At 40.8% G+C, this 27,413-nt stretch overlaps 4 annotated features.

Annotated features, from left to right (window-relative positions):
- Positions 1,190–1,289: an enhancer, noted in NCBI's record as "active region_25994". NCBI's record gives its function as "activates an Ori minimal core promoter by ATAC-STARR-seq in GM12878 lymphoblastoid cells {active_cell/tissue: GM12878}" and the evidence as "EXISTENCE:reporter gene assay evidence [ECO:0000049][PMID:35858748]".
- Positions 4,596–4,655: an enhancer, noted in NCBI's record as "active region_25995". NCBI's record gives its function as "activates an Ori minimal core promoter by ATAC-STARR-seq in GM12878 lymphoblastoid cells {active_cell/tissue: GM12878}" and the evidence as "EXISTENCE:reporter gene assay evidence [ECO:0000049][PMID:35858748]".
- Positions 9,935–10,004: a silencer, noted in NCBI's record as "silent region_18180". NCBI's record gives its function as "represses an Ori minimal core promoter by ATAC-STARR-seq in GM12878 lymphoblastoid cells {active_cell/tissue: GM12878}" and the evidence as "EXISTENCE:reporter gene assay evidence [ECO:0000049][PMID:35858748]".
- Positions 16,110–16,399: an enhancer, noted in NCBI's record as "active region_25996". NCBI's record gives its function as "activates an Ori minimal core promoter by ATAC-STARR-seq in GM12878 lymphoblastoid cells {active_cell/tissue: GM12878}" and the evidence as "EXISTENCE:reporter gene assay evidence [ECO:0000049][PMID:35858748]".

A 27,413-nucleotide genomic window follows, 5' to 3' on the forward strand; every position in this document is an offset into this window, starting at 1 on the left:
GTACATTTCTGGAGGTCTGGCTTAGTCCTGGGATAAAGATTGGATAATCTTGATGAAAAGGCCATCACTACAGCCTAGGGTGTCCTGGGTAAGTGGCATCTCTGAAGGTGGTGGGTCTCGCCTAGCAGACAGGCACTGTACCTGCAGCCTGAGGGAGAGGCTCTTGCTCTGTTCAGAGAGGGTGTTATGTTAAGAGGGTCACAGAGCTGGGCTTGTGCTGGAGCACAGGGCAGGAGGGGTAGGGGGCAGGGCTGTACTGCCTTTACTGGTCTTCACCTCCTCCCTTCTGGTGGGCTCCACCAACTCTTCTTCCTGCCCCAAGTGTGTGGTCTGCATCACCCAACACTTGTGACTTTCCTGTCATTCTTTGCCCCTGTGCAATGCTACTTTGCTCTTGAGAGTCTCGGCTTTTTGCCGGGAAAGATCATCACAGCTCATCTTCCTGGAGAAACCAGAGACTATTGCCTCCCACCCTGACTTCCCAGTATGTCAGCTTGGATAAGTGCTTCAGAGGGGGTGAATGACACTTTACACTTTGAAATCAGGAGTGTCTGTTCTCAGGCTGACCCAGAGCCGCAAGGCCACCTGTGGCACCCCTTCTCCATGCCCAGGTGACTCTTCTGAGCTGTCTCTACCCCAGGCACTTCTGCAGTCCTGCCCCTCCACCTTCATTGCCTTGGCTTGTCCTAATTAAAATTTGTAATTTAAAAAAAAAAGAAAAATCAAAAGCTGGTAATCGCGAGCCTTCCTTGTAAAAAACACAGCTTATTTCTATCATTAGCAACCTGTGCTGCAACAGAGCCCCTGACACGTGCATTTCAGGAGCAATTAGGAATCGCTGGCTGCATTTACATAACATTAAAATCACTGTCTACATATGCAAAATAAAATGAATCTCTTCCCATTGCTCCCACAGGCACTGGCCTGAGATAGATTTCTATCTGTTTTTGCATTTTAGCCACATGGATTTATTTGATCTGCCCATTATTTGCTTTCCTGGTAACGGGAGGTTTCCCTCCACTCTAACTGCCTGGCCAGGAGCAGCAGGCTGGGCACACCCGCGCCAAACCACTCGGGAAGAGGGGGTGAGGCGGGGCCGCGGCCTATCTCATCTCCCCTCCCCAGCATGCCTTGCAGCTGCAGGAAGCCACCCACCCATATTTCAGAAACCACAGGCTCCTGTGGGTTCCGAGAGCCTCTGTCCTGGGTGTGCTTTGAAACATGCACACAGTTTAATGTCTTGTTAGTCACCTTCTTTTACATTGCTCAACTGGAACTGGGAAGGAGCACCAATTACTGTGAACCATGCATGGTTTGATCTTCAGTCTTCCCCTTCCCTCAAGAGCAGCCATTCTGGTAGCAATGCCCCACTGCTGCATGATAGAGTTCTAGCTCAGCTGGTGTGTAGAAAGGAGGAGGCTGTTTCTTGTTATGAACACCTTCCCACCACACAACAACGAGCTCTAAGCAAAACCAAGATGTTTTTAGCTGCCACCTGTCATATCAGAACCCAGGATGCTTCACTATGGAATGAGGAAGAAAAGCCCACCTAGTTGGAACCACGATTGAGAGTTGCTTCTCCCCTACTCCTGTGCCCCTGCAGTCTCTCTTTCCATCCAGAGCCCCTCTTCCCTCTCTCACCTGCCTACTCCCTTATTTTAGACTCAGCCCAGGGCCTGAAATGCACACTTTCCCCTCGAGCTTCTTCAGGACTTTCCTCTGGCTCCCGAGGCCCCTGCATTTCACTGCTGTAGCTTGTGGTCTGAGCCCCTGGGGGACAGAGCAATGTCTATCCCCCATCCCTGGAGCTCAGCAAAGAGTCTGGCTGCAGGAGGCACTCAGAAGATGCTCCTCAGCTTGAAGTCAAGAAGACTCTGGTTTGCCTAGCTGAGGCCTACCTGGTTGCAGAACAGTTAAAGAAGGAATATGCTAGATCAGAGGTAGCCAGCCAAGGCCAGCAGTAGACTCTGCAGCTGACACCTTTAGGCCTGCCTGAGGCTGCAGTGAGCACCTCAGCTGACCACATTCAGCCTTCCTGACTGCAAGACTGGAGAGGCCAGCATGCCTTTGCAGCTGCAACTCCAGAGCCAATCAATCAATTGCCCAGGGTAGGAACCCCTCCCAAGGCAGTGCCCTCCAGTTTATGAGGCCTCTGCACTCTGTGACTTCTCCATCCTCACAATGCCCTGTTACATGGGCAGTGATTAGCCACAATGCACAGATGAGGAAACTGAGGTTCAGAGAGGTTACACCACTTTTTCAAGATCACATAACTCATAAAGACCAAACATATGAACCTACAAATGTTGATAAATCCAAGTCACTGTGTTTTTGGTTGTTTTCTTTTCCCTAGCCACCCACTAAGCCTGGTGACAGGAGCAGCTTCATGGGCCTGCGAGCAGTGCAGTCTCTCAGGGTTTTACAGTTAATGCTCTGTGGTTGCAGTCTTGAAACTGTGAATAAATTTACCTTGAATTTGTGTTTTGTCCGTAAAGTCTGACGAAGCAATGGAGCATGCATTGGGGACTCGGAGACTCTGCTCATGTGGGGCTCCCTTCCAGGTGCCTCCCCCTCCCAGGGATGGGTTCTCAGCTACCTGCCCAAGCAACCCCCAGCAACCACTGCCATCTGCTGGGAGGGGACCTGAGCCTGTGCATGGGAATGGTTGGGCCTACACAGTTGTGAACAGGGCCCTGGGTACCTGTGAGTGTCTGCAATCTCCCCATGAGTATTCCTGTGTCCAAGGGATGTGACATTAAATAGCAAGTAAAAAACACCATGACAAGAGAGAGACCCAGAAAGAAGGAAGAAATGTTTTTCCTGCCATTTGAGCAAGGGACCCCCTAATTTCAGTTTGCACTGGGCCCTACAAATTATGTAGCAGCCCTGTCTGGCAGAGGTGTGCCAGGTAACCCTATGTGTCCACTACCTTGCAAGATGGATGGTGGGCAATTGGCCCTTCCAGTGCCCCATAGGGCCTAGTATCTTAGATTGTAGTTATTCTTAAGGAATAGGATGAAAGGAGGAACAGCAGCAAAATGCCACCTTCATGACGTGCTCCAGAGACTGACCTCCTTCCACCTCTCTCTCAAAATTCATGCTCTGCTAAGCCAAGGGCCTCATTGGCCAACAAGTTGAGTTCAGGCCACCTCCTGCTCAAAGGAGAGGATAAAAAGTATTGTTGAATATCTAAGAGCTATATTTTTAACACTTGTGTCTAAAACAAGGTCGCAATTTTGCATCTGCAATAATTTATGCCTGGAAATAAGGAAGTGAAATTCCCACCTACTGGAAAGACAGTTAGGAGGGCTGTTCCATGGGGCAAGTGTGGTTTAGAGCTGTGCAAACACACATAGCAGGTGCAGGGAGACTCAGGAGCCATGAACAAGCAGCTGCCATGAGCACTACTGCTGGGTACCAGAGAGGGACCAGCCTTCTTTCCTCATTTGAAATGCGGGAAAGGGCAAGAGCGCATACTTTACAGGGGACAGGCAAGGTTTGAAGGAGACCAGACCAGAGCAGGATTTGTCTGTGTGAGATGTGTGTCCCCAGAAGGGCAGTCTGCACTGCCTGGCATTCCATCCCAGGAGTCTCACTGCCTTAAGATGCTTGCAATCCTCCCCTGTTAGGCTCTACATAAAACTGTGTAACTTTTTTCTGTCCTGCACATGCTGGTTTCCTCTACTGGGCATCCCTCATGTACTCTTCAGCCTTCACCTCTGCTGGAATTTCTTTCAGAAATCTCTGAGCTGAGATATGATTGGTACTGACTCCTCCACCAGCTTAGGAGTGGCCATGAGGGCTGACACCCATCCTGGTATCACACTACCTTGGCCTGTACAGGGTTAGGATCCAATCAGAGGCAAGGATATTTGCTAGGGCCTTGGAGAAAAAGAAGTTTGTCTTGTGGGAGACCTTCAAGGGCAAACATCATCCTTTTCTCTGAATGGTAGGGCATGAGAATACAAGGTCTGGATGTGAGGGCTGAGATGATCCAAGGTCCACCAAGTGCAGTCCACCAGGCCGGCACTGCAGAAGGCAGACCACAAAAGTAGAGAGAAACTGAGCCATTCATTTCACTGCCGATCCATTCACTGGATCCTGCCCCTGGCATCTGCTCTCAGCTTTTAAAATTGGAGCTGATACATTTCCCATATCATTTAGACAAGTTTCAGGTTTTTTAATTAAAAAATTTTTACTCATGTCATAGACATTAAATTATATATCGATGTTCAATTTGCATTTTCATAAAGTAGTGAGGTTAACTCTTAATTTTACCTCTTCTTGACCACATGGCACAGGAAAGCATCTCAAAGTCCTTACCAGGATAACTCTGTGGACTGGGTGATTGATGCACCCCAATGCGAGCCTAGAGCTTGCATTGTGCTCATTCTATGGAAAAACAGTCAATCTAAAGAGCATGGCAGAGTGGGCTATGGAGACTGTGGTGGGCAGAATTCTCAGACAGCCCCAGTGACCCTCACCCTTGTATAGTCTCCTCCCCTTGGGTGTGAGCAGAACCTGTTGAATGTGTTGAGATAACCACTCCTGTGCTTATATTACAGTTCATGGCAAATGGGGTTTTGCAGATGGAATTAAGGTCAGTAATCAGTTGACTTTGAGTTAATCAAGAGAGATATCATCTTGTTGAACAAGAGCCCTTTTCATCCGTCTCTAGTGGTCAGAGATGGGAAGTGAGATGCTCAAAGCATGAGAGAGATAAGACGTGAGGGAGATTCTCTGTGGCTGGCTTTGAACATGGAGGGGACCACCTGGCAAGGAACATGGGCAGCAGTGTGAGCTGACAGCAGTCCCTGCTGAGAGCCAATGAGGAAACAGGGCCCAGCCTTACAACTCAGAGGAACTGAATCTTCCAATAACCTGAATGATCTGAGAAGGCGGTTCTTTCCCAGAGCTTCCGGATTGAGGACTCAGCCCAGTGAGCATCTCAATTTCAGCCTCAGGAGACCCTAAGCAGAAAGCCCAGTCACGTTGTAACCAGCCTTCTACCCACAGAATTGTGAGGTGATAACTGGGAATTGTTTGAAGCCACTAATTTCATGATAATTTGTTATGCATCAATAGGAAAGTAACACAGAGGGACAGACCACAGCAGCTGTCTGAAGTCTCACCCAAAGCTACAAGGCTATTTGTACCCTGGCCTTCACAGTTATTTGGAAAATTAGAGTCCTTTTTCGCCTAAGTTTATTTAAATTCAATTTCCATTCTTGGTGACCAAAAGCCTCCCAACATATTTCTTAAGTTCTTATAATATCTTTTAATTTATATTTTATGATATGCTGCAAAGAATAGGACTAACTGGACCAGGGATATTCAGATTTTTAGCAACCTTGCTGAGAATTTTTAATTGTTTTCCAAAAGAGTAATGTCAATATATCCTGCCACCAAAAAAACAAACAAAAAAAAAACTATGAATTTACCAACAGCAGCATAAATCTACCATTATCACTCCTCTTGTATTATTTGGTTAAAAGGTGGTATTAATTTGTACCTGCATTTTGTTTTGTTTTTTAGCTTTCAAACTTAATATGTTTAATCAATTTGTGTGAACTCTCTGTTCATTAATTATGATCAACTTTCTATTGGAGTGCTGGTTTTTTTCTTGCCATTTTTCAGTGAGAATACCTATTAATTTTCTGTCATACTTAAACCATTTCTGTTTGGTTTTTTTTGAATTTTATTTCTATTAGGTATATTATACTTGTTTGGTAGAAGTCTCTTATTTTTATGTTTCATATCTGTTGTTTCCTTTAAGATTTCGTATATTGGCCCAAAATTTTGGAATCATAAAAACCTTCTGATATACACTTTACTTCTCTTTACTTCTATATTCATTTCCAGGATTTGTCCATGTCATTTATTTCTTCAAATACTCACGTCTTAGATTTATTTATCTATTTTGTTTTTGTGTGTTTTCTATTTTTTTCTTTTATCACATTTTTAAGGTGGCCTCAGTTGCCAGATACAGAATCTCAATTCAAATCAGCATGAACAACACTTGATGATTTATTTAAAAGACATTTGGGTAGTTCACAGATTCGAAGGCCAAGATGAAGAGTGACGAGGGTGGAGGAGGCCTAAGAGGGGAAAACTGCCTTCCTCTCTTTTTCTCTCCTAACTCCAGGAGCTCAGACTATTATTTTTTCCATTGGCCTAAATTTTGCCCTGCTGAAGAGAACAGGACAGCTCAGGCCTGAAGTTCTGCAGCTCCATCACTCAAGGCAATGATGAGCCCTCTTCCAGAAGCACCCAGTAAAGTCCAGGGAAGGGCCCAACTGGCCCAGCTTGGGACCCCTGCTGGCCCAGCAGATGGAATCCTATAACAACTGGTGAGTGTTGCCTCTAGAAGACACTTCTTCATTCTCACCTAGTGAGAAGGCACTAAAACTCAACATTGGTTTTGAGCTCTTCATGGTACAAAGCCTCCTAGAAGTCTGAACCAGGCAAAAGGCTGACCTCCAAAGTCAGGCAGTGGTCTCATCATTAAGAGGTGCTGGGAAGCTTCCTGATGACCCCCCTTCCTGCCATGCCCTGTGTTCTCCCGGAAATGACCGTGAGCACCTGCTACTGCTGGAGAGCAGGGATTTCCCAGGCTGCTGTAGGACGCAGGCTCCCAAGGAATCTCACATCTACCATTCATCTTTGGAAAGAGATTCTCTAAGTCAGGACTCCTTGGTTTTATTTGACCAAATTGAAAAGCTTTTGGATCGAGCTTTCCTTTGTTATTATAACAGCAGTAGGAAGACCAAGAAAGCAGTATTCTTTACAGAATACTCTACTTTGCCTGAATATCATGGTCTGCTCATGCTATTTACTACATAGTAATTTAACAAATTTCCTGGGCTCCCTTCTTAAATAAGTACGCTTTTTTAGTAATTCACTCCTCATTGGATACCACATTGCAATACCTAATGATAACTTTTAAGACACATTCTGGGAGGGGAGGGTAACAGGCTTCTCTCTGCTCTCTTATATACTTCTGTTTCTCCAGTTCATGTTGGTTAATTTTATTTGCATCATTTGGAGCTTTGATTTTAGTCAGCATTATTAATAATTTACTCTTTGACTTAATGGGGCTGCTGAGGGGATGAGACAGGTCTGATTGAAGCAGTGTGAGCTCCCTGGTATGGACAGCTATGGGCATCGTGTGTGTTGCCAAGTGCATTACAGAGTAATAAATGTATAACGAGTTGGGCCGTCTGGGTGTGCTAAAAATGAACTCTGAGTTAAGTAAGAGAAGCATTTCCATTGTGCTGCCTGTGCTACTAAGGAGCCCTTTCTGTGAACTGTCCTGAGCTACAGACTTGTTCAGAATCCACTTCTGAGAATGGGTGCAGTGTGTTTAAATGACTAGCCTTTGTGCCTGTAAACCCTGAATTATTTTAGAAGTTGGTTCTAATTATTTAGAACTGTGTCTAAATAAGTTACTTTACTCAGGAGAGATCTGTATCCCTGTTCCTAACCATGCACCATGGAACAGGTCTTTGGGTGCTACTCAAAATCTCTCCTTTCATTTATTTAGTTAGGCGTGGTCTAAACTGCACCAGTATAGCTTGTGGATGTGAAATGGTTAAACAGTAAAACCTCAAATGTGTGCAGCTGTGGGTTGGGAGAGCTGGAGTCTTCACCAGCTGGACACAGACAATGTGGGAGAGAGAACCACATTCACAATGGGGGAGAATTTGTTGTCTATACTCTAGACAAGTCTGGTTTCCCTCACACTAAATCCAGAGTAGTCTTCAGATTGGAGGGAGAAAACTCATGTCCAGGTAACAATACAGAATATTCTAGAAAGACTAAGCTAGAGGAAAGACTCTCCCTTACATTCAGTGGCAACCAAACAGATTTAAACACAGGGGTGGGTGACTGTCCTTAAGATATAAGTGTCAATCAGTTGCAGAGAGAGGCTGAGAATCTTTTCAGTTGGGGTGAAAAACTCCAGTCAAGAAACAGCCCCTTTGTCATGGACAAGGTGTGGAGCAGGAACAGGGGTGCTCCAAAGGGACTCAACAATGATGAAGACCTGAGAATTCCAGACAATGACAAAAAATAGGACCAACAGCAGTCCCTCCACTGCACTCAGCTGAGAGCTTCACCAGCAGAGGGGGAGTGAAGGCTAATGTCAGACACATTGAGCAATTAACTAGTTATTTTTATACACATAATCATAAGAACCCCTGAGTTACAGTCATCTATTGCAATCCAAATCGGTAGACCATCACCAGAAACTCAGTCTGCATGGAGTGCCCTGATGTCATACTTAATGACAACTTTTTAGACATATTTTTTTAAATCAAGCTTTTCTCTATTATTTTAAGAAGAATAAGGAGACCAGGAAAGCAGGTTTCTTTGCAGAATTTTGCCTGAAAGTCACTGTCTGTGCTATTTAATTTATTACAGAAATATATTACAGGATTTCCAAATTTTTAAAAAGGTGAAGCAGAATTAGCTTTGGATTAAATTTTCTGCTATTTCTATATACTTCTAGGATTTCATTGTATTCAACACAGTACTTCACCAGCAGGTAGGAAGGAAAGGGACATTTAGTCCAGCCCTCTCTGCTCTCCGCTCTTGACTAACTCCATCCGTTAGAGTGGGAATGGGTCGTGTCTTCAATGCAGCTTGCTCAGGAGGAAGTGGGCAGGAAGATCAGTCACCATTGCAGCTATCCCCTCAGCAGCAAGGCAGGAGTTCTCCTCTGGCCACAAACCCCGTGGACACTGAGGAACGGCAGCCCTCTTCACCGTGTGGGGCCACAGTGATGAGATCAACCCATGGGCCCCTCCTGCCGATTCTGCCACAAATGGGCCCAAGTGGCAGCCTGTGAGTGCCAAGGACAGAATTAGCTACCATCCTGGAATAGGGACCCTATCTTTGTTTGTTCATCCAGTCAACATGTATTGAGCATCTATCATGAGTCTAGATACCAGAAGGAAGCTCCAGATCCTGCTCTTGAAATCGCACACATCATGTTCACAAAATCTTGGGCATGTACAGCAAGGATAGGGAGGAGATCTAAGCAGCTCCATCTTGGAAGGACGATGGGGTCCTGAAAGGGATTTCTGAAACTTACTCTTCTCATCCTGCAGAGCAAAGTTTAAACATTTGTCTGAAGAAACAGAGAAAAAAAGAACAGCTGTGCAGAATAAACCCATTAAGTTCTTACAGAACAACCTATTTAATTAAGTGCTTGACATGTGCCAGGTATCATTCTAATTACTCTACACACCTATTTAATCATCACTTTACACTGCCTTAGGCCTGTGTACCAGGCATATCTCTGTGTACTTTAAAATATGAAATAATTCAATTCTCTAAGCAATCTTATGAAGGGTACTGTTACTATCCCGATTTTACAGATGAGAAAATTGAGACACAGAGAAGCTAAATAATTTGCCTAGGGACACACAGCAAGTAAGAGGAAGAGCCAGGATTCAAACACAGGCAATCTCACCGTGGACTCCATGCTTCTAACTCCAGTGCCTTATCCCAGGTAGAGAAGCAGCAAATGTCAGGCACAGCAGCAGGACTGGAGGTGTCTGTTTCAGTAAGAACCCATCCCTATTACCAGATATTCAAACAGGGAGACAGTTGTAGTACCTTCCACTGGGCTGTGGGGTTGAGGGGAGAGCTTATAATGGAAAAGGAAAAGTAAATTCATACCAGACGTGGGATTTCAAGTCTTAGCTTCACAAACTACCAGCTGTTCTGAGCCTCAGTTTTACCCATCTGCAAAATGGGGATAATGATATCTCCCTCGTAGAAGCATGATGAGAACTCAGTGATGCATGAATAACTATTCACACAGTGTCTAGCACAAATTTGGTGAGTAGCAAATACTCTCACTTCTATAGCCCAGGTCACGCCTTCCTGGATGGAGATTTACTGTGAAGCCGGATCAGGCAACACTCCTTCCTCAAGTGTCCCCAGCGTACCTGTGGCACCTGGAAAGCTGCCGCTAACAGCTTCTGCTGAACACGCAGACACAGAGGCTGTTCAGACCACAGTGATGTGACCAGGTAAGATCTGAGGCTCTTTCTGGTTCAAACAGTTTATGCTCCAGGAATCAAGATTATCATAATTACGGTAATTATCCATAATTATGATATAATCCATAATCCATAATTGGTATAATCCATGTGGTATAATCCATAATTATCCTCTTGTCATTATCATTGACAAGTTAATCAATAATCACAGAATAAAAATATATTGACATTGGAAAATTAGTTGAAGACTATCTTGGGCAAACTTCCTTTGCCTTTGATGTAACATATTAGCAGGAAACTAATAAAGTGAATGCAATACACTTGTTGAAATACAAGGAAAAATGTGTCATTACTCAATTCCAATAAAGTCCAGAAATAAAAAGAAATAATAACTTGTGAAAAAACTAGTAGTGATGTTGGGGAAAGGAGAATCTTACTTGTTTAATGTCACCTTGTAAGACTGAAATTTTTACAAAATGCAGTAGAAGATTCAAAATTTTCAGAATGTCTAAACAGAAAACTTTATTTTAGTATTTTCTGTCTAAAACTAAAAAAAAAAAAAGTTTTAGACAGGAAAAAAGTACATTGTTGCTGTCCAGATAGTGACAAATGGTGTCAAATGTTAATACCTAGCAGCTACTACCACTACATGTAAACCTGCTTTAATAGTCACTATGGAAGATTATGTAAGTAAAGTGATTGGGAGAAGAGAAAGAAAAAAAAGAGGAAGGGAAGGTGAGGCAAGAGATGATATGTTTTTCTAGTCTGATTTTACAATGGCTCAATTACTCTCTTTTACACTTCATTTACTCTGTGCTTCTAAATTTATACAGCTCACGAATGGGCCCCACCTCCCCTGGAATATTGCCCATCAGACTCCATATCTTAAAACACCACACCTCTGGCAGAGCTCCTGACCTTCTTTAGTGGTTGAGCTGATTGATCTCATTAATTGGCAAAAATCTATTTATTTCTTCTCTAATAAATACTTCCTATTAATTCGATTAATCTCTTTCCTAGAACATATGCTAAATTTAGAGAAGATTCTTCAACCGCAGAGGTACCATGATGCAGGAATATTTCTGTAATAGCAAATTCATTCTTTCCAGAACATTAGCCCAGAATTTTTAATAACCTTAGGAGCTATCAGATTTGCACACCACGACAATGGCTAAGTCTCCAACCCAATTTATCCTCTTACTCAGATACCCACTTTAACTAATTCTCGTGCTAGAAATGTATCCATTTTAAATTGGGAATTTAGAGGTCTCCTTGATAGAAAGCAGTAAAATAGTACGCTCTAATTTCAGGCATGTCTAATGGAAATCTTATTCCTAAACTGTTATTAAATTACTGGGATATTGTGCTTGTGGTTTATGTGACCCGTTACATATGGCAACATCTCTATTTAAATGTCATCTTGGGCCATCTTTTCAAAGACACATCAAAAAAATAACAAGAGCTATCGCTAATAAAGAAACTCATTTCTTAACAGTTCTCAATCAAATAAATTCTTTCCTTATTGGACGGTCAACAAATTAAACAATCAACAAATGTTCATTAAGCATCACAGGGGCAGGAGGGTCTATATATACTCCAATCAACTCACCCTGGCCCTCCTGGCAGAGATGGACTGAAAAAGAACTTTACACTTCCTCTTCCTTTCCCTTCTCATCCCTTTGTACATCCAATCCTTGGCTCCCGCATTATCTAATTATGTTCAATAACCATACAGAAAACGCAGCTCCTGAGTTTTGCAGGGAAAAAAGAAAACATACTAAATTTGCTTATAACAGAATTCCATGTAAGAGAAATTTGCATCTGGGCAGCGACTGGGTAGTAACAGAAGTTTTAGCAAAACTGAAGGACCCACTACTATGGGGGATTAAGGGGCACACAGAAAGTCTTTGGTGTTTTGGAACCAACCTGTATTCCAGAAGAAGAATCAGCCTCACAGAATGAATACTCACCCCTCTCCCATCTCACCCTCTGCCGTCTGATTCCCAACCTTTCCTTTTCTCTTGCACATTAGTTTAGCTGTCTCCTTTCTGGGCTAATCTTTGACCACACCAATGTCCTTGGCATCAAATCTTCACATGGGTTTCTTGTTTTGTTAAACAAAGACACTTTCTTTGTTTTATTTTTTTTAATTATTAAGATGCCTCAAAATTGTGTTGCATGAGAATAGCCAAAAATTGAGGAAGAAAACTCTTAAATTTACATCAATAGGGAAATAATTAAATAAAAAAGATGTATCCATTCAATGTAACACTATGCATTTTAAAAATAATGATATAGAATTGTATGTTTGAAGTTCAAAATTGTTCATGAGATTATAATTTTTTTTAACTACTGAGTAGACACAATAATATAAAATATACATAAAGTATAATGATTAGTCATGCAACAGTCATGAACTTAGCACTTGAGAAAATACTCATCATCCTTACTCTGAAGTCCTGGGGATGTCTCTAATCTTATTCTCTTCTGTACCTACTCAGAAAAAATCATTATCCTGAATCTTAGGTTTATTTCCTTATGTTCTTCAGAAAATTATTGTTATTTTCCAACATCTATTAAATAATATATGTCTTTGGATTTATAGGAATGGAAGTATAACTTTTATATTCTTTTGTGATTTGCTTTTTCCACTGAAGACTAAGTTCCTGACATTCATCTGTATTGATGTGTAGCGTAGAGTCAGCTCACTTCACCTGCTTTGTGGCCTCCCAATACAAGCATACATCACAATTTTTAAAAATATTCACTTCCCAGTGGACCTTCTGGTTTCTTAAATCTTTTGTTATTACAAAGGGTGCTACTAGAAATAATATTCTTAAATACTTCAATTTTTGCTAATTTGATAATATTCTAATACAGTTTTAATTTGCATTTCTCTAATTATGAATGAGATTAAGCATCTTTTTATGTGCTTGTAAGTCATTTATGTTTCTCCTAGACCCCTTCCTTACACCTTATACAAAAATTTACTCAAGATGGATTAAAGACTTAAATGTAAAGCCCAAAACCATAAAAACCCTAGAAGAAAACACAGGCAATACCATTCAGGACACAGGCATAGGCAAGACTTCATGACTAAAACACCAAAAGCAATTGCAACAAAAGCCAAAATTGACGAATGGAACCTAATCAAATCACAGAGCTTCTGCACAGCAAAATAAACTATCATTAGAAAGAACAGACAAACCAGAGAACAGGAGAAAATTTTTGCAAGCTACCCATCTGACAAAGGTCTAATATCCAGAATCTACAAGGAACTTAAACCAATTTACAAGAAAAAAAACAAACAACCCATCAAAAAGTGGGCAAAGGTTATGAACAGACACTTCTCAAAAGAAGACATTTATGTGGCCAACAAACATATGAAAAAAAGCTCATCATCACTGGTTATTAGAGAAATGCAAATCAAAACCACCATGAGATACCAACTCACGCCAGTTAGAATGGTGATTATTAAAAAGTCAGGAAACAACAGATGCTGGTGAGGCTGTGGAGAAATAAGAACGCTTTTACATTGTTGGTGGCAGTGTAAATTAGTTCAATCACTGTGGAAGATAGTGTGGTGATTCCTCAAGGATCTAGAACCAGAAATATCATTTGACCCAGCAATCCCATTACTGGGTGTATACCCAAAGGATTATAAATCATTCTACTGTAAAGACACATTCACATGTATGTTTATTGCAGCACTACTTACCATAGCAAAGACATGGAATCAACCTAGATGCCCATCAATGGTGGACTGGATAAAGAAAATGTGACCTATATACACCATGGAATACTATGCAGCCATTAAAAAGAATGAGTTCATGTCCTTTGCAGGGACATGGATGAAGCTGAAAGCCATCATTCTCAGCAAACTAACACAGAAGCAGAAAAACCAGACACCGCATGTTCTCACTCATAAGTGGGAGTTGAAAAATGAGAACACATGGACACAAGGAGGGGAACGTCACACACCAGAGCCGATTGGGGGTTAGGGGGCAGGGGGAGGGAGAGCATTAGGACAAATACCTAATGCATGTGGGGCTTAAAACCTAGATGATGGGTTGATGGGTGCAGCAAGCCACCCATGGCACATGTATACCTATGTAACAAACCTGCACGTTCTGCTCATGTATCCCAGAACTTAAAGTAAAATTTAAAAAAATTAAAATAAGTCATTTATGTTTCTTTTTTGTAAGTGTCTATTCAAGCCTTTTGTCCATTTTGCTATTATTTTTATTATCAATTTTAAAAATCTGAGTTGGAGGGTAGATTTTTTTCTAAAGCAAATGTTTGGTAGTTCACAATTTTATCTGTGATAATTTTATTTTAGAGAAATGGACTGAGAAAAGATTTAATTTTCATTTTTTTCCTGTGTGGATAACAAACTAGTCATACCACATAGGTATGAGTGTGTTTCTAGGCTCTCTTCTGTTCCATTGATCTGTTTAATTTCAATACCAGACCATTTTAATCACTGTTATTCATAATATTTCTTGTTGGCTGTTAAGGCATATGGCCCCACATTTTTTAGGATTTTCTTAGCTATCCTTAACTCTTGGAGCTCCTGACATACATATTAAAATTATCTTATCAAGCTCTTTAAGAAGAGGATGTTTGATTGGGATTGTATTGAATTTCTAAATCAATTTGAAAAAAATAACATCTTTAAAATATCAAGTTTTTTGATCTATGAACATGGTATATCTATTTAAGTGTATGATAGTACATTTACCTATATTTCCATCTAGACTTGTGTGTCCTTTTCTGTTTCTATATTATGAGGCGATTTCTTAGTTTAAAAGCTTGGAATAATTATATTTTTCTGATCAGGTTGTAATGATTCTCTTATTTTTTTCATAATATCCTTTACCTTAGAGTCTCTTTTGTTTAATAGGAATAAAGCTGCACCTGTTTTTATTTGTTTCTTTGTTGTTGGTTTTTTGTTTGTTTTTGTTTGTTATTTTGGTCTCTATTTGGCTATGATATATTTACCCACAGTTTCACTTTTAATCCTTCTGATAACTTGTATTATATGTCTATTGTAAAAGGTACATAGCTTGCTTTGTGTTTAAAATCCACTGCAAATCTAGTTCAATCTCAACTACAGAATTTGGCCTACTGAAATTTCTTTCAAGTAAGGACGTATTCTAATTTATTTCTTTTACTTTATGTTTTCTATTTGTACTGCTTTTTATTTTTTTACTCTCGCTTCCTTTTGGATTTAGGGGTTTTCTTCACTACCGGTTTGGAAGTTATCTACCTTATTCCTGTTTTTTAGTGGTCACCATAGAAGTGTTAACATGCATACTTAATATGAAAAGTTAATAAATATTTTTACCTCAATCCAAATCATGTTGAGACCTGAGAACATCTCCGCTTCAGACCTTTTCCTCCTAATCCTGACTTATATGCCTATTGCCACAGCTGCAACTCAACAAAGACTGGCCAGTGCCTTCGATTTCATCCAGATGGTAGTTTTCCTGAAGCTGAAATTCATTTCTATATTGGCACAGCCCCACCTCTCTCCTCCCAGGATCTCCCATCACCAGCTTTGGATGTAACTAGAAGGAGTTTATCCTCAGGCTTTGGTGAAATCAGAGAAAGTCAGAGGAGAAAACTGCTATACTTGACTACGTCTTTGCCAGGATGAAGATGACCAGGGAATATTCTTGTACCATATCTGCCCATCACTGAATCCAGTCCATGTGGGATTAGACTGTAGAAATTAAGAGTTGTGTCTATTACATATTCTATGTTTTTGGGCTCTATTTCTGGTTGTAAGAATATTCTAAGGTTCTTTTTAGAGAGGGGAACTTTGAGGCTCTAAGAGAGGAAGTGACTGAGGTCACCCAGGAGTCAGTTGGCAGAACCAGAAATAGACCCCAGGTCTCATTCTCAGTTCAGACAAGGCAGCATGTTCTGCTCTGATGTTGAGTGAAAAAGAAGAGAGAGGGAGAGAATTTTCAACAGACCATATCTGTGAAGTGGAAGCAAGAGAATTATTTTCCTTAGAACAGACCTTTCTTCTCCCCTTCCCCTCAAGCCTGTCTGAAACTCCTCTGCTAACTGGCTTGAGCACTTGGAATATTCCAGATGTAAGAAACGCAGACGGGCAAGAGCACCAGCCACCCTCCCACAGCTGCAGCCCAGATCTTGTGATTTCCGCCAGGCTCAAGCTTGGCCTCTTGGTTTCTCCTTGTCCCGTGTGCTGATTGTGGGAAAATTCTGCGTGGGACACGTCTTTTCTTCAGCACTCTGGGAGTTTGCCACTCCGGCCTCCCCCTCCCGAGGACAGCAGCAGACGTGCACATCTGCTTAGGGGCAGGGCTGGCAGTTCCCAGACTACTCCTGGAAGCTGCAGTAGAAGATACAGTTTACTCTGAGCTTCCGTCTTGTGCACCTCTGAAGTCCCCAAGGATAGGGCCTTCCAGAACAGAGAAAGCGTGGCATGCTCTGCTCCCAAATTCCTTGGGAGAAGAGGTTTCATTGTCCTTGGTTTCTTCGGCTTGTAAAACTTTTCTTTCCTTTTTCTTTTTCTTTTTTTTTTTTTTTTTTTTTTTTTTGAGACAGAGTCTCGCTCTATCGCCCAGACTGGAGTGTAGTGGCACGATCTCGGCTCACTGCAAGCTCCGCCTCCAGGGTTCACCCCATTCTCCTGCCTCAGCCTCCGAGTAGCTGGGACTAAAGGTGCCCGCCACCACGCCCGGCTAATTTTTTGTATTTTTACTAGAGACAAGGTTTCACCATGTTAGCCAGGATGGTTTCCATCTCCTGACCTCATGATCAGCCTGCCTCCTCGGCCTTCTAAAGTGCTGGGATTACTGGCATGAGCCACCGCGCCTGGCCAAAACTTTTATTCTCTGGTGAGGTTGTTTGAGGCTCTCCATGCAATCTCCCGAAAAAGAGACCGAGGCCCACACAGCATGAGAGGAGAGAAATGAGTACAAGCTAAACGCAGTCTCTTCTGATGGCCTCTCTTTCCCAGAAATAAGAGGTTATAGAGAAAACACAAATGGAATCTAAATCTGGTAAGATTTGCAGAACCTCAAGGTTTCGCTGGGTCAGGAACAGGGTAAAAATAGTCTCTGAGGATGAATCCTGGCCAGGAAAATAGAGACAAGTGAAGGACAGGGAAATACATTGTAAAATTTCACTTTTTCCAGCTTCCTATTTGGTTTCACTCTGAATTTTCTCTGAATCATTTATTTCTCACACCGCCTTCATAGCACTACAAGGAGCCAGCTACAGTACCAGAATCCAGGAGATGGAGGCATGAGGGCTTTTCAAATGTCCAGTGGTAAAAGGTATAGTAAAAATAGATCCCAGAAGTAGGCAACATACCCACAAAGCTGGCCAGACAAAGTCCTGGGATGCAGGAACCCAGCCACTCAGCACAAAAGACAGCCATGGAGCTCGCAGTGCAGACGCAAGGGCCCCGAGAAGAGGAACAGCCAAAGGTCACCTCGTTTTTGGAATGCTTCCAGCTATCCCAAACAAGCAAATGACGATCACATTTCTGAAAATCCTCACCACGGGGGCATTCCTGCTTCCCCTGACGGCTGGTTCCTTTCCACTGGCCAGTTGTTTCAGACACTTATGTCAATTTTCCTGGGGGCAAGCCTGTTCCATTTTCATCTAGTTCCTCATTCTCTCCAGAGGGCGTTATTATGTGCTAGGGTCATAGAGCCAAATAGATGGACTTGAAGATACCATTCCTCTGCCATTATGGTCATAATCGTCTTTTTATAAAGGACTGCCTAAAGAAATTCAGCCGTGAAGGTCAGCAATAGCAACAATAACTCACAGTTTAACCATTTGCACTTTGGATAATTAGTCAGGAGGAGAGTAACGGAGACCCATTCAGCTACCTAAAGTAAAAATTTGCGTTTGGTTTTATTTTCTATGTTTCTTTCCAGAATGAGGTGAGTCCCATGGTGTCCAGGGGCAGAGAGGCACCCGAGGCCTTTCAGAAGTTAGAAGGAGAAACAAGAAAGTCCCAGTGAGCTCAGCAGGAACCTCGGCCCCTCTCCTGCCTCCAGCAGGCCTTAACAGAGTCTTCTCTCTTCCTCTCTAGGGCCTCTCATTCCTATAACTCTGCAAAGGCATGTGCCTGTTGTGTTATACATATGAACACATATGAAAGCCCAAACCTCTGTTTCACAGCCTTCCTTGGCTATCAATCAGCATGTTAGGTGCCAATGCCAAATTCCTGGGGGTGAAAATCTAACTGACCCATTTGGAGTTAGGGGGCTGCCCCAGGTCCAATAAACAATGCCAAGAAGGTGGGGGGCTACAGGGTGAGATAGAGATACCTGCCCACTTTTTTAGTGAGACCTATGTAGACTTCCAAAACCTATCCATTACAGAGACTGGCTAAGAACTTTCACAGACTTAAAGTAGTTAATAAGCTTTGTCCGTCCTACCCTGTATAAGAAAATGGCAGCTCTAGAACCTTGGAGGAGAGATTACATGAGCACTTATATTCTTCCTTGGCACTCTTTACTTTGGCTAGGATTAAGCCTCAATGTGTGAGAAACTTTTGAGGGGGCCTGAGCCCTCCCTGGGTGTGGTCAATGGTAGCCCACATCCTGTCCGCTGAACAGATCAGTGTGTTAATGGGCCATGGGTTAGTTCACGCAGGGATCAGTTAGTAGTAGGTGGGTCCCCTGCACAGGTTTGTCCCCAGTACTAAACCCATTCCCACTATGCTGCTGGCCACAGGAAAGCATGAGCCAGTCAGTTTGGACAGCCAGCCTCCATCTGTCACTTGTCAGAAGGAAGTCACAAAGCCCAAGCACTCTGTATCATCTTTGTAAAGATGAAATAAAGAACTGAATTATTACTTGGAGGATAGAAGACAGGTAGAATACAAAGCCATAATGATGTCCACATTTCAATAATCTCTTAATTCACCAAATGATTTATAAAGAAGCCCCTGACTAGCATACATCTCCTCCTCTGCATAGCATTTATCACCCTGAGTGGAATTTGATCTCATTTCTGTCTTCCTCAGTAAATACTGGTGTTCTTGAATGAAAGCAGCATATTGTAGCCTCTTGTAGGCTTGGGGCCCAGCCCAGGATTTGGCATGTCGCTATAAACAGTTGACAGTGGATGGATGAAGAAATGATGAATGGAGGGAAACATTTAGGGATTAAAAGTCTGAAAGAAAACAGGAAGGGACTGAAAGGAAAGCGAAGGAAGGAGGGATGGAGGAAGGAAAGAAGGAAAGAAGGAAGGAAGGAGGGAGGAAGGAGGGGAGGGGAGGGAGGGAAGGAGGGTGTTCAGTAGCAAGTGTAACAATCCCAGTGAGCACAGGGGTCATGCATCCTGTGATATGGTGCCGCACACAAATGAGTGCAACCTCCTGGACCAAACCTCCTGGACCAACACGGACCTGGGACTGGGCTTCACTCAAGAAGCAAATGAGCTTGACCCAAGGCTAAAAGTTCTCAGTGTCATGGTCTTCAGGGAAATCCTTCTTTGCCTCCTCTTTGTGTGCCCTTTCCCTCCACTCAGGCAGCAGTGCTCTTCTGGCATCGCCCCAAATCAAAAGGGAAGTCACTCCCACTAGCCATTTGCTCTTATTGATGGATTACACTGCAGTGTGAATATGCTTCATCAACTTTAGCCCAGTGGTTCTTAACCATTTTTGGCAGGAGAAAAGAGAAGTTGGCTCGGTGCATCACAGACCTGCCCTGACATCTTGATAAAAGATATGGATCCTCTCCTCAGGGAAACGCACCCCCCACCACCCTTTAAATGCACCAACTCAGTTTCAGGGCTTCCCAACTTGAGATCTGTTATCAGGGTCTACTAGACTGTATTATTTGGCTCTTTTTTAGTTTTAAGCTTCTGATCTCTAATTGGGGAAGTCTGTTACTTAGAGGATTATCAAGCACCAATAACCAGATAGGGAGGAAGAAATTTCTCTGGTCAGAATCAGACTTCAAAGTGCACAAATGGAACCCTGTTAGACTTCTGGGTAACTGGGAAGCAGTAAGATAGCAGGGTGACATAGGAGCACTACTCCTGTCCTCTGGGATCTCACTGGCCCTTTGTGCCTCTCTTTCTCTCTCACACACACTGGCCACTGGATGGAAGTCCCAGAACATTAAAGCCCCTGGGAAGCCGCCCTCCATTAATGATTGGCATGTGTCAACCGGTTAGCAGCCTTGCTTCCTAATTTTCTAGAATTATCTACCTTTGGCCTTCCAGGACAAACTATCACATACATAATTTTTAATAGATCTTTTTTTTCTTTTTGAGATGGAGTCTTGCTCTGTCATCTAGGCTGGAGTGCAGTGGCACAATCTTGGCTCACTCCAATCTCCGCCTCCCAGGTTCAAGCGATTCTCCTGCTTCAGCCTCCCAAGTAGCTGGGCACATGCCACCATGCCAGCTATTTTTTGTATTTTTAGTAGAGATGGGATTTCACCATGTTGACCAGGCTGGTCTCTAACTCCTGACCTCATGATCTGCCTGCCTCGGCCTCCCAAAGTGCTGTAATTATAAGAGTGAGCCACTGCACCCAGCCTTCACAGATTTTTTTTGAGACAGGGTCTCACTCTGTTGCCCAGGCTGGAATGTAGTGGCATGATCACAGCTCGACCTTCTGCTGGGCTCAGTATTTGTGTTTTGTACAGATGGGGTTTTGCCATGTTGCCCAGGATGGTTGCAAACTTCTGAGTTCAAGTGATCTGCCTGCCTTAGCCTCCCAAAGTGCTGGGATTACAGGTATGAGTCACTGTGCCCAGCTGGCTTTATTTTTTAGAGCAGTTTTAGGTTTACAGCAAATTTGAGCAGAAGGCACACATTTGTTACAATTGATGAGCCTGCACTGACATGTCATTATCACCCAAAGTCCAAAGCTTGTATTAGGGTTCATGCTTGACGTTGTAAATTCTATCCATTACGACAAATATATAATGACATATATCCACCATTATTGTATCATACACATCGTTCCACTGCCCTAAAAATCCTCTGTGCTCTCCTAATTCATCCTTCCTTGCTGCCCCCCAACACCTGGCAACCACTGATCTCTGTGCTGTCTCCGTAATTTTGCCTTTTCCAGAATATCATAGAGTGGAAATCATAGAGTATGCAGCCTTTTCAGACCGTCTTTTTTAACTTAATAATATACCTTTAAGATTCCTTCATTTATTTTCATGGCTTGATAGATCATTTATTGTTAGCGCCAAGTAATACTCCATTGTCTGGATGTACCACGGTTTATTCACCTATTCACCTACTGAAAGACATCTGCTTGCCCCCAAGTTTGGACAATTAAAAATAAAGCTGCTAGAAATACTTACTACATGTTTTTGTGTGGACACCAGTTTTCAGTTCATTTGGGTAAATATCAAGTGAGTGATTACTGAACTGTGTTTGGTAAGAGTATGTTTCAGTTTGTAAGAAACTGTCAGCTGAATTCCACAGTGGCTGGACCATTTTGCATTCTCCCCAGCAATGAGTGAGACATCCTATTGCTCCACATTTCGTCAACCTTTGGTGTTGTCAGTACTTTGGATTTTCATCATTCTAGTAGGTGTGTAGTATTATTTCATTGTTTTAATTTACAACTTCTTAATGGCATATGATATTCAGTACCTTTCATGTGCTAATTTGTCACCTGCATATTTTCTTGGGTGAGGTATCTGTACTTCCATGCTGTTTATTCTACTGGTAATGAGGTTTCTTACAGCAAATGCTATAACCTTGTTTCTCATGAAATCGTTGTAACCCTTCCTTGTTGGCTTTTATTTTAGATCAATTTTCTCCAAAACTAAAATTTTGTCCTTATTTTACAAAATGAAAACCAAAATTAATTTAAATATTTGGTTTGTCACTAGCAATCCAGTTGATTACTTATCTTATAGCTTATGAATTGAAACCACCTTATCATTTTTAGAATCATCCAGAATCTCTTTTTAAAGTTGGTGACTATTTTTTTATTTCCTCTCTTCAATGAAGAAGTAATGGCTCAGCAAATAACATCTTCCAATTCCTTGGGTATAATAGAATGTAAGCCATTGGGCCAACTGCAATGAACAAACTCATCCTTCACAGATAATTTTTGGTCACTTTCTTTCCAATTCTAGTATACATTTCATTTCCCCACATGAAGGCTTTTAGGTTTTAGGTCACAATTTTTTTAAGAAAACAAAAACCATAAAATATCTGCACTTTCCTAATTTTACCCTAAAGCTCCATTTTCACTAAACAGATTAAGCACATGCATTTTTTTAACAACAACAAATCTGAAAACAGACATTTTAATTTGAAATATTTTGGGGAAAATATTTAAGGAAATAGTCGTAGATTATAAAACATACTGAGGTTACTCTTATCAAAACATTTGACTACTTCAAAATGCAGTTAAAATGACATTAAAATATGACACGGAAAGCACACTCAACAAAATAAAAAAAAAAGATAAACTGAACTTCATCAAAATTAAAACCTGTAGTGCATTGATGCCACTATCAAGAGAGTGAAAAGACAGCCCACAGAATTGGAGAAAGCTTTTGCAAACCACATATCTGATATGATTCTCTATACTAGAATGTATAAAGCCAAGTACATATTCAGAAGATATAAAATATCCAGAATATATTAAAGAACACTTACAACTCAACAACAAAATGACAATCCAATTTAAAAATGGGCAAAAGACTTGCCTATCATTTCTCCCAAGATATACAAGTGGCCAATAAGCACATTAAAAGATCCTCCATGACATTAGTTATTAGGAAAATGCAAATTAAAACCACTTTACAGTCACTAGAATGGTTATAATTCAAAAAAAAAAAGAAAATAATGGGTGTTGGTAAGGATGTGGAGAAATCAGAATATTCATATATTGCTGGAAGGAATTAAAATGAATTACAATGTGGTCCTGCAATTCCACTCCTAGGTATATACCCAAAAGAATTCAAAACAGGTGTTTGAGCAAAAACTTGTACATGAATGTTTATAACAGCTCTGTTCACAGTAGCCAAAAGGTAGAACCAACCTAAATATTCATCAACAGACGAATGGGTAAACCAAATGTGATATATTCATATAGCGGAAATTGCTCCACTATAAAACAGAATGGAATACTGATACATGCTACAATATAGGTTAATTTCAAAAACTTATACTAAATAAAGGAAGCCACAGACAAAAGGCCAAAAAGTATATGCCCCCATTTGTATAAAATATCCAGAACAGGCAAATTAATAGAGACAGAAAACAGACTAGTTGCTGCCAGGGGCTGAGGGCAGCAGAAAATGGGAGTGACTGCTTAATGGGCATTGGAATGAACAAGTTCTGGAAATAGTGGTGATGGTTGCACAACATTGTGAATGTACTTAATGCCACTGAATTGTATACTTTAAAAAGGTTATGACGGTAAGCTTTATGTTATGTGTATTTTACCACAATAAAAGAGACAATAAATGCTTCAAAGGCATGATTTAAATTAGTTTTACTAGTTCATTTTATTTCAGAAATCGGTGTTTACATTGTCTAAAGGTAGAATTAATCCATGTTTTAAGCTTTTGTTCTATACGGGGCAGAGAGAATGTTGTAATGTTTCTCACCTTCACCCTGTGTTCTTGGAGAGTATTTAATTTGGCTTATTGGCTGCAAATGTACATTATTTTTCTTTTTCAACTTAATTTGACCTCCACAGTTATGTGTTATAGCTTGGGGTTCAAGATATAGGATAGTTTCATCATAAATGCTTTTGGAATCATATTTATGAGTTTTTCTAAACTTTGTATAAGTCTGACTTGTAGTTACTGTTTTACAGTAAGCCCAGTCTTTCAATTTCCCAGTAAAGTTAATGGCTATTAAAATTGCATCTAACATTTTTGGACTCAGTTATCTCTTAGATTTAATTCAATTTTCTAAACAGCCTTTGCTTATTATGTATTTTCCTTTCCCTTCAAAAATGAATCAATTATTAGTTTCCAACATAATTTTGACCAAATTTAAGTTCTTATTAACACTTTTTTAATTCTATGAAGCAAGTCAAGTGAGTTATCTCAACTACATTTTCATAATGTACGTAGGCTTATTGATAATATTAAGTATTACTGCAATGATTAATGTTATATGTCATCTCTCTCTCTCTCTCTCTCTCCCCACAATCCCCCCATCCCCTGCCCTGCCCACTGGTGCTTAAGCTTGGACATCCATCCTCTCCTGCCCTCGGATATTGACGTGCTCCTGGTTCTCAGGCCTTCAGGCTTGGAATAGAATCTACACCACCAGGTTTTCTCAGCCCCCAGCATGCAGATGGCAGATCATAGGACTTCTCAGTCTCCATAATCATGTGAACAAATTACCTCATAATAAATCTCTATAGATCTATGTCAGTATCCACACCTATATGTATTCTATTGGTTCTGTTCTCTGGAGACCTGTTGATACAGTTTGGCTGTGCCCGCCCCCCTGCCCCGCCCTGCCCAAATCTCATCTTGAATTGCAGTTCCCATAATCCCCACATGTTGTGAGAGGGACCCGGCGGGAGATAATTTAATTATGGGGGTGATTACCCTCATGTTGTTCTCATGATAGTGAGTGAGTTCTTACAATATCTGATGGTTTGGCTTTTCCCCGTTTGCTCATTCTTCTCTCTCCTGCTGCTATGTGAAATCGGACTTGTTTGCTTCCCCTTCTGCCATGATTGTAAGTTTCCTGAGGCCTCCCCAGCCATGCTGAATTGTGAGTGAAATAAACCTCTTTCCTTTATAAATTACCCAGTCTTGGTTATATCTTTATTAGCAGCATGAGAACTGACTAATACACCTATAATACAATTAGTAATAAGTGATAATGTAGCTCAGTCAGGGAATATAGAAAATTATTAAGAAGAAAATATAAATCACTCAAGAACCTCTTACCTGCTGGCAACGTTAATAGTTTAGTGAATAGCCTTCAGGTCTATGTATGAGAGATATGTAAAATGCTTAAAACAATCCTGCAATTTTCATTTTCAGTCTACTATGCATAGTGGATATCTTTTCATCTTAGAAAATAGACATAAGTCATCTACTGATAGCTCCAAAATATTCATTTGTGGGAATATATCAAATACTATTTCATTTGGGATGAGCATTCAGTTTTCAATTCTTCCTTCTATGAACCTCATTCTAGTGAATGTTAAACACACATATGTTAAATGTTAAATACATGTATTTTCATATACAATTAGTTATCTGTGCATGTATTTCTTGAGGTTATGAAGTAAAAGGCCTCACGCCTTCTATAGTTTGAATTCTATTGATATTGATATGCAATGCTGACTTCCCTCTGATCTGTCCTAGGAATCCCACCACCAGACCCCAATCTCCATGACCTAAAGACAATCTTTTCATTGTAAATTTACAAATTACAGTTGTATATATTTATGGGGTACAAAGTGAGATTATGATTTAATAAATTTATTTAAAAGTTTATGATTTATAAATATAAAATGATTTATAAATATGATTTAGAAAAATTAAATCAAGCTAATTAACATATCTATTACCTCAAATACTTTTCATTTTTTTGTGGTGACAATGTTTACTCTTAGTGATTCTGAAAAGGTACAATACACTATCACTAATTATATTCACCACACTGTACAATAGATCTCAGAAAACACCCTTATTTCTCTTGTCTAATTGAGGCTTCATCTAACAGTTTATTTCAATTTTTAGTTTTTAACTTCTACTAAAGTTGAACGTTATTTTGCATTCAGTGGTCTTTTGTATTTTTTTTATAAATTGTATAATTATGTTCTTCACCCATTGCTTATTGAGGATTTCTTTTTATTAATTTGCAAGAGCTCTTTATATATTAGGAAATGTAACTCTTCTTTCATATTCATTGCAAATATTACCTCAAAATATCATTAGTATCTAATAAGGGTCTCCTTGTCATTTTTCTTTCTTTCCTAAAAATACTTTATCTCTGAAATTTTCAAATAGATACATAGAGATAATTACATAAGGAATCCCCTTATAGCTATCACTCAGCTTCAATAATTATTGAAACTACTACCAATCTGGTTTTATCTTTCAACCACTGTTTTTCTTTGTTGTTTTAAGCCAAGCTCATATTACCCATAAACATATCTGTAGGCATCTCTAATTAATATGGACATTTGGACCCATAATCACATACCATGTTCCCAACTTATCCACCTGTAATATGATGGAAATTTCACCAACTCACACAAAACCGCTTTGGATAGCATATACCCATTTTGAAACTTCTTACCATTATCCATACTCCTTTTCCTGGACCTTCTCCTAAAGTTGTTTGGCCTATTTAATCAGAAACTATTTCATCCATCTACTTGTCATAGGTTCTTGAACATATTTTCATAATGTTTATCAGATTCACTTTTTCCACAAAGGTTTTGTTTTCATTCAGATGTTCTCCACACATTATTCACTTTCTCTTTTCTGTGTATCAGATAATTGTAGGCTTTTGAACCTAAAGGCAATTGTAATTCTTATTTTCACTGCCTCTCCTCAGTTGCAGCTCAATATTTCCAATTTAAGTGATAGTGTCTGCTGAGATGGCAAGCTCTTCCTGTTAATTTTCCATGTTGTAGGCATTTACATAGGCATTTGGGGAAGTTAAGGGTTTTCCCCAAAGCATTTCCCACTTACCACAACTGTCCACCTCACAGCAGACTTCAGGATTTCCCCCAGATCAATACACTTATTTTAGTCCCATATTAACTCATCTTCATTAAATCTCCCTTTGCCTATGCAGCAAGCAGCCTGCCCCCAGAGTCCCAGTCTTCACCAGGTGTCTCTCCTCTTTTACTCAGGAGGACTTTCCCAGGAAAACCATGCCACTAGCAAAAAAAAAAAAAAAAAAACAAAAACAAAAAACAAACAAACAAAAACAAAAAAACACATAAAACTTGTCAGTGAGGGATCTTTATCCCTAGGATGCTTCTGTTTTATTTCTTTTTCAGGTTAGGAGAATTTGTGACTTCTTCACTCCTACCCACACAGTCCTGAAGTCAAACCATCCAAGTTTGACCAGAGAGGGTTAGTCACTATAGGTTAGCAGGTGATGGAGCTGGTGATTGTGTTTGTGCATATCTGAGGGTGTGATAAGCCCCAGCTGGTTTTAGCACAGTTAGCTCTCAGTGCTTGAGTCCTTCTGGAATGGTATGGCATATAAGCCAGGGAGGTCAGGTCCACTTAGAGATGATGGGGCAAGAACTTTTGAAGCTTTTCCCTAAAGCTGTTCTCAGTTCCATACCAGCCTCCCAGATATATGTTACCCAGGCCAAGCTGAAGTCATGGAGTATCAGTTAGAGGGCTTCATAGAGATCATCTTGTCAACCTCTATCATCTAATGAACAAAGAAACCAAAGCTTAGGAAGGTGAA

The sequence above is a fragment of the Homo sapiens genome, chromosome 7 (genome assembly GCF_000001405.40).
Source record: "Homo sapiens chromosome 7, GRCh38.p14 Primary Assembly".
Lineage (NCBI taxonomy): Eukaryota > Metazoa > Chordata > Mammalia > Primates > Hominidae > Homo > Homo sapiens.